The 7,778-nt window shown below is 47.0% G+C and overlaps 1 protein-coding gene across 14 annotated transcripts in view, besides 1 other annotated feature; it reads left to right on the top strand.

Annotated features, from left to right (window-relative positions):
• Positions 1,099-1,808: a silencer, noted in NCBI's record as "silent region_5343". NCBI's record gives its function as "represses an Ori minimal core promoter by ATAC-STARR-seq in GM12878 lymphoblastoid cells {active_cell/tissue: GM12878}" and the evidence as "EXISTENCE:reporter gene assay evidence [ECO:0000049][PMID:35858748]".
• Positions 1,332-7,778, top strand: part of RCBTB1 (RCC1 and BTB domain containing protein 1) — a 53,613-nt gene continuing 47,166 nt past the window's right edge. For 10 of the 14 annotated variants that reach the window (NR_148015.2, NR_148016.2, NM_018191.4 and 7 more), the window contains exons 1-2: positions 1,332-1,446; positions 6,306-6,385. The gene's annotated coding sequence lies outside the window, so the exon portion shown is untranslated. The remainder of the gene's footprint in view (positions 1,447-6,305; positions 6,386-7,778) is intronic. The other 4 variants (NM_001352503.2, XM_011535134.2, NM_001352501.2 and 1 more) reach the window with 2 other exon arrangements.

Below are 7,778 nucleotides of genomic sequence, written 5' to 3'. Positions count from 1 at the left end.
TGAAGAAAACCAGAGCCAAACAGTAGTTGAAGTGGTAAAAACATTTTATTCAGGAACTAGTGCAACAGGAGCGAGACCTCAGAATAGATACAGAACTAAGCTCAATTCTCTTATTGCATTAGTTTCTTAATACCTTTTTTTTTTTTTTTAATCATTGGCCCTGGTTTTCTTTAAGTGGGGGAGGTGGTGATTCAGGACATTTCAGATACAGACAAAAGAATGAACAAAGCAAAAAGGAGTAAAGAAACTTAGAGAAAAAGTAAATAATCCAAAGAAAGTTGAGTAGTCAAGGAAAACAAATTATTTGTAGCCAGAGCCTCCAGTAATGTTGGGGAAGTGGCAAGAGATGAGGGACGGTAGGACTTTTTTAATAATTCAAGTTACCAAAAGTGAAGTTATCTGGTGATATTTAGAAAATGAAATGTTTTTCTGTTTATTCCTAGGAGCTCAAATGGGAAAGGTAAGTGAACAAGTGGCTGGAATGCTATGCCAACAAGTTTGGATTTTATCCTGCAGCGCCAACTGGGAGTTCTCCGAGAGCTGTATGGTATTTTACAAAGGGACTGTAGTCTTTATAGGTGATAGGCTGGAGCAGCTCGTAGCAGTCCCTCTCCTGGCCTCAGTTTACTCGCTGGTAACACGAATCCGGTTGGACCAGATGCCCTCTTAGGTCCCGTCTAACCTCTATGGCATGCTTCCGAGGTACCTCTGCCTCTTTCCAATACCAGGACCTGTGCCTCATCTCGTCCTTCCTTCATACCTTTGTCCAGCTGCCACCTTCCCTAGTCCCTGGCCTGCCTCAGGTACTTTCAATCAGGAAGTGAGGGGCGGGGAGGGAGGGAGGCGCGTCTCCAGTAAAAACAAACTAGTCCCAGCTCCGCCGCCTTTCCTCCCAGGCAGCACCACCTGGGTGGTGCCCCGGGGCCAGACGCGCTCTAGAGTGGGCAGGGAGCCAAGTTTCTCGGTCGCTTTTCCGTCCTAGGTCTCTGGGGTGGTAGGCCGACCCTCCCCACAGCCAAGCCATCTCGGGGAGCAGAGCAGGAGCCCGTGCCTCGCGCGTTCCTGGTTCCTCAGACACAAAAGCCTCTAAGTCCCGGCAGCAGCCACCGGATTTCATGGGGACACTCCAGTGGCAGGGCCTCGGGGCGGGCCTGAGACGGCCAATCGGCTTCTAAAGAAGTCGGGTTGTAGGGCCCGAAGAGCAGGGTTTCGGCCGGGGCCGGGGCCGGGGCGGTGCGGGATGCTCGGCTGGGTAGCGTCCCGGGCGCGCGCTGCACCGGGTCACGTGAGGCGGCCGGGGCCACGTGACCCGGCGGGCCCGGCGCCCTGGCGCTCCTCCTCTTCGCTGCCGGTGGGCACCGCCGCTCGCTCGCACTTCTGCGCCCATTGGAGCTTCGGAGATCCCTGCGGTCCCGCGGGACGGCGCGGCAGCAGCTGACCTCGCAGGTAGCGTGTGGGCGCGGGGTCGAGCTCGCGGAGGCCTCTTCCCCCTCGGCCCTGCCCCTGCTTCCCTTCCCCGCAGGCCGGGCCGGGAGTGCCCCGTTACTCCTGTACCTCCCGCCTCCCTCGCTCGGGCTCCCGGGCAGTCCCTGCGGGCGCTGCGTCCGGGGCGAGGGATGGGGTCCCCGGCCCGGCCCCGCCAGCACCTCAGCTAATGTGCTCTCCTGCGAGGAGGAGGGAAGGATGGGGAGAGGCGAGGGAAAGTTTTCCCTGCCTCCCTCTCTTTTTTGAGGTGCACGGACTCGATTTTGCTCGTAGCTGAAGTCTGACTGCTGTGGGTGCCGTTTTACTGAGAGGAGATCTCCCCTCCGACTCTTCCTATTCTCTCTCCTTTCCAAGATCTTAGCATCTCTCCTTCGTCTCCTGAGAGTAGTGCTGTCACAAACCGTATTCTTTATCGTTTCCCTTTCCGACACAGAATCCACAAAGGCAGGGATTTTGTTAGTGAGGACTTTTATCCAGGCGTGCGGTGAACTCTAAATAAGTGACGTTTCCCTTGTCTGCCTCTGATAAAGTACCTACCTGCTCGGTTTAAGATGACTATCGAGCACGCTGTGTTCTGCTCGCATAAGTGGCCTTTTGTTTTTATTTATTTGCATGTAAGACACTTTCAAGCCATCTGCGGAACTCTGCAGCTGGGGATTACAATTTTATAAAGCAGTCTTGTAATAATGCTTTTAGAAAACCAGATTCATGATCTTCCTTGCTTTTGCCCTATTCTTTTTTTGGGAGGACTAAAAGCCCTTAGAGGACAAAAACTGAGTTTCTGAAACTGGTGTGTATTGTGGGCTAATAACATTAAAACATCAAAGTATATAATGCCGGAAGGAATGGAAAAATGATTGAATCCTGAGGGCAGTTTATAGGTGCTTTAAACTTTAGAGTACTCATTTCAAGTGAGCACTGGGTGAATTTCACCCGTTTAAACTGCTTTCAGGGTCGAGGATGTAACTGTATATTTGGATTCTATTAATATAACAGTTCATCTGTGGGATGGACTTTAATCCATTTAATCCATTGTGTGAATATCAGTCTATTTATTAATACTCTAGACGGGTCCTTTTTCTTCTACCCGCTAGTCTGTTTCTCTTGAAGAGGAAGCATATTCATCTTTAAAGAGATTTTTGCAAGTGATTTTTTTAAGTGTGTGATCCAAATGATAAAGTTCTGTGAACTTCAGAAAACAAGTAGCCATAAAAACCCAAAGCTGTCAAGCTTGTAGCTTTTAAAAAATGATTTGAAAATTTTAAAGCGTGCCCGTATGCTGCAGCAAGAACTTGGCTCCACCTAATATACGGGAGCTGGGAAGTCTGAAACAGTACCCTCCTTTTCCTGGGAGTCATTGTGGGGTAGATGAAACTGTGAAGGAAAGTGAGGACCTTTATTATGATGATGATATCCCTTCTGTGTGTACTACATTAAACAGTAAGTCATGCATAGGAAAGGAGGCTGGGGCCTCACAGAGTCTAGAATCTAGGCAGGGCATTCGGACACATTTCAAAATATTCTCTGGTTTTACAAAAAGTTAAAAATGTTACATATTGGCCAGGCGCAGTGGCTTACATCTGTAATCCCAGCATTTTGGGAGATTGAGGCGACAGATTACACGAGGCCAGGAGTTCAAGACCAGCTTGGCCAACATGGTGAAACCCCGTCTCTACTAAAAATACAAAAAATTAGCTGGGCGTGGTGGTGTGCGCCTGTAGTCCCAGCTACTCAGGAGGCTGAGGTACGAGAATTACCTGACCTGGGGAGGCAGAGGTTGCAGTGAGCCGAGATTGTGCCACTGCACTCCAGCCTGGGCGACACAGTGAGACTCCATCTCAAAAAAAAAAAGTACATGTTGTGTACGTGCTGAAGAATGCACAAGAGGGGTATGATGAGTGTTGTCTGAATTTAGCCAGAATAGACTTAGTAGAGGAGATCAGTTAATGAAATAATTATATAAGTCAACTGTGTGTTAGATCACATTTAAAACACACACACACACACACACACACACATACACAAAAGCACACTTCTTTCCTGGGGTAGAAAAGCTCACAGAGGAGACCAGATGGGTACCTCTAAAGACTTACGGTCTCCAGCTTTCTCTGGGCTTGGTCTTACCATCCTGCTAGGTTTCTCTGCTCAGTGCTCTTTCCCATCCTCCCTGGTGACTGCTTCAGACTTCACCATTTTACCCCCAATTGCTCCACTCCACTTTTTTCTTTTTGAGACAGGGTCTCACTATGTCGCCCAGTCTGGAGTACAGTGTGCCATGTGATCATAGCTCACTGCAGCCTCAAACTCCCAGGCTCAAGTGATCCTCCCCACTCCCAAGTAGCTGGGACCACAGGTGCGCACCACCACATTCGACTAATTTTTTTATTTTTTGTAGAGACAGGGTCTCCCTATGTTGCCCAGGCTGGTCTTGAACACCTAGCCTCAAGCAGTCCTCCCGCCTTGGCCTCCCAAAATGTTGGGATTACAGGCGTGAGCAACCACACCCGGCCTCCACTCCACTGTTTATTGCTACCTCCCCTCTTACTCTTAGCAAAAAGCCTAACTCTTTCTTCATAGGGGAAAAATAGGTGACCTCAGAAGAGAATGGTCTCCAAATGCCAATCAAAACCATGAGATACCACCTCCCATCCACTAGGATGGGTATAATACAAAAGACAGTAAATACTGGAGAAAGCAGCACTGTTGTACATTGCCGGTGGGCATGTAAAATGGAGACTCAGCGGGGAGAGAGAATGAGAATGAGAGAATGAGTATGTCTCCAGCATCTGGATTCCTAACCTTTAAACTGGCTTTCATTCACATTCACCCTTTCCTCCTCCTCTTGTGGAAGGAAGAAAAGGAAGACTTGCTCCTTTCTACAGTTTCTCTTGCATTTATTTATTTATTTATTTATTTAGAGACAGAATTTTGCTTTTGTTGCCCAGGCTGGAGTGCAGTGGTGTGATCTTGGCTCACTGCAACCTCCGTCTCCCGAGTTCAAGCGATTCTCCTGCCTCAGGGTCCTGAGTAGCTGCGATTACAGGCACCCACCACTATGCCCAGCTAATTTTTGTATTTTTAATAGAGATGGGGTTTCACCATGTTGGCCAGGCCGGTCTCGAACTCCTGACATCAGATGATCCACCTGCCTCGGCCTCCCAAAGTGCTGGGATTACAGGCATGAGCCACTGCGCCCGGCGCTTCTGTTGCACTTCTGCTTCAGATCCCATTCCCTGCTACTTTCTTAAGGCCCATTGAGTTGTTACATCCTCTCCTCTTTGATGTTTCTACTGGCTCCTTCCCATTAATTCAAACATGTTCAAGCCTCTAACAATGTTTACATTAAAAAGGTTAACAGAAAACGTCCTGCAACTCTATCACATTCTGTGATTACTATGCGATTTCTCATTTTTCCTTCAGAGTGAAATTTCTTGAACAAGTTGTTTATACTCATGGTTTCCTTTTCTTCACCTTTCACATACGCCTCAACCTGCTGCAACCTGGCCTCTTCCACCCACAACCTCAGTGAAACTGTTCTTGTTAAGGTCACTGATAATTCTCCTTGTTAAATCCAATGGAAGTTTCTCCACCCTTCCCTCGTTTGGTGTCTCAGCAGCATTCGACACTAGCATGCCTCTTGCCTGTGATGCTCAAGTCCCCAGATCTCTGTGACACTCTGTCTCCTGGTTTTCCTCCTGGTCTACCTCTTCCTTCACAGTCCCTTCTAGGGGGTACTCCCTGTCCCTTTCCCGTTGGAGTTTCTTAGAGTTCTTCTTAAGGTACTCTGCTCTCCTTATTTCACTTGCTTTTTTCCTGGGTGATTTCATGCCAGATTTCCAAATCTCCAATCCAGACCTTTCTTGAGCTTCAGATTTCTAAATCCATCTGTTGGGACTTGTCCACTTTAATATCCCACAGGTACCTGGCACAAATGTCCATAGTAGGACTCATCACCCCTGAGGCCTGCTGTGCTTTCTGCTGTAGTGAGTGGCAGCACAGTTCTCTCTCACTCAAGCTCAGCGTCTGCCTGTGATCTTCGGCTCTGCCTTTCTGCTTATCCAGTGCTCCTTGTCCCATTCAGCCAGTTGCAGAATCTTCTTGATTTTCCTTCTTGTTCAATTTTCTCCATTTCCCTAGTGTGGGCTTCAATCCCTTCTTTTCTGGCTTACCATAGCCATCTGGACTTCCTCTAAGCACTCCTTTGTCGTCTCATGTCTCTGTGGTCAGCCAAAGTAATCTTTCATAGACCTACATCTGTTTATGCCACTTCCCTGCTTAAGACCCTTCAGGGATTACCTGGTGCTCTTAGGATAAAGCCTGAGTTGTTTGGCTGCAGCCATGCTGACTTTCTTTCAGTTCCTCCACCAGAGCCTTACCTGGCATGAGTGCTCACTGTTGCAGGCGCCTGCTTCTCTTTAGGTAGCTGAAGCATACTTCCCAATTCTGTTGCCTCCACAGCATCTGACCAGCCACACTGTTGTGAGCATCTGTTTATGTGTCTAGATCCCCCAACCCCATGTAATTTCTGTTGGTGTTGGCTCTGTGTCCTGTTTACCTAAGAAAATTTATTGAATTAATAGTGTATGGTTCTGCCAGTCCATTGCTGGAATTTCAGTTTGGCTTTAGGTCATTGCAGGGTACAGTTGATACTTTTCATACAACTGGGGACTAATAGATGAAATCACTTTTGGGGTATCCACATGAGAAAGATTCATGAAACCATATTTAGATTTGAATTTGACCCACCAATTCCAGCCTTGAATTCATTTGGAAAATAAAATGAAGTATTATGTTTTATCCATTTCTTTTTTCTTTTTCAGACAGGATCTTGCTCTCTTGCCCAGACTGGAATACAGTGGTGTGAACACGGCTCACTGCAGCCTCAACCTCCTGGACTCAGGTGATCCTCCCACCTCAGCCTCTTGAGTAGCTGGGACTAACTACAGGCGCACACCATTATGACTGGCTAATCTTTTTATTTTTAAGGAAATGGAGTCTCGCCATGTTGCCCAGGCTGGTCTTGAACTCCTGGGTTCAAGTGATCCTCCTGCCTTCGCCTCCTAAAATGCTGGGATTACAGGTGTGAGCCACTTCACCCAGCCATCTATCCATTTCTTTAAACTTTGACCCATCATTGGTTTTTTTGTTCTGTTTTGTGACACCTGTTTGTTTGGTTTAACAAAGAACAAACTTACAGAAAAAACATTATTTCTAATCATCGATATTTCTTTTCTGGTTTCCTTTTGAAAACAACAGTATCCTATAAAAGCAATACTTTTATAAGATCTCAGTCAGCTGCACAACCCTAGATATGTTATTTTTTTCACTGCTAATGCTATTGCCACTTGGTTCGTTTGCTTTTCGAGCACATGGCTGAGGTTAGAAGTGAGACGAGATGAAATGAATGAGATGAAAGCAGCCCCTTGGATGATGGGGCTAAAGAAATGCTTACAGAGGCCATTATTGCAAATTGTGCTTCAAGTCAAATAACTTATTAGTGGTTGGGAAATGACAGTTGTAGGAACTTACATTTTCCTCTAAAATTAGTGATGAATTTGAACAAAACTTATGAAACAAAGGGTAGGCACAATCAGAGAATTCTAAAACACTAGTCATACTGTTCTCTAAATGAAGGTGGGGGTATTATCTTCACTCACCTGTACAGGTGGCTTCAGCTTGAAGGATGACAAACTACTTTGGGAGAAGGCTACATTCTCAGACTCCTTAGTCAAGCATTCAGGGCATTCTTCCTTTCCCTTTCATTCTTTTTTTTTTTTTTTCTGAGACAAGTCTCGATCTGTCACCCAAACTGGAGTGCAGTGGCACCATCTCGGTTCACTGCAAGCTGTGCCTCCTGGGCTCACGCCATTCTCCTGCCTCAGCCTCCAGAGTAGCTGGGACTACAGGCGCCCACTACCAGGCCCGGCTAATTTTTTTGTATTTTTAGTAGAGACGGGGTTTCGCTGTGTTAGCCAGGATGGTCTTGATCTCCTGACCTCGTGATCCGCCTGCCTCGGCCTCCCAAAGTGCTGGGATTACAGGTGTGAGCCACCACGCCCGGCCTCCCTTTCATTCTTGTAGTACTGTGTGTTTGCAGAAGAGAGACGTGGATGACAGCTGTTCTAGCAGCTGGGGCAATAACATATTAGTGTCTCAGCACATCTTCGAAACTTTGCCTGTGATTTGCAGCCCTTATACCATAGAGTGGGTGAAATGGTTTTAAGTTTTATTTTTATTTAAAAATGTTTGAGGCTGATTCTTAGAGGCTTATCTGGACCTGGGAAATACATTTG

This window comes from Homo sapiens, chromosome 13 (genome assembly GCF_000001405.40).
Source record: "Homo sapiens chromosome 13, GRCh38.p14 Primary Assembly".
In the NCBI taxonomy this organism is placed as follows: Eukaryota; Metazoa; Chordata; class Mammalia; order Primates; family Hominidae; genus Homo; species Homo sapiens.
Note: the sequence above shows the minus strand (reverse complement) of the source record. Positions and strands in the feature narration are given on the sequence as shown.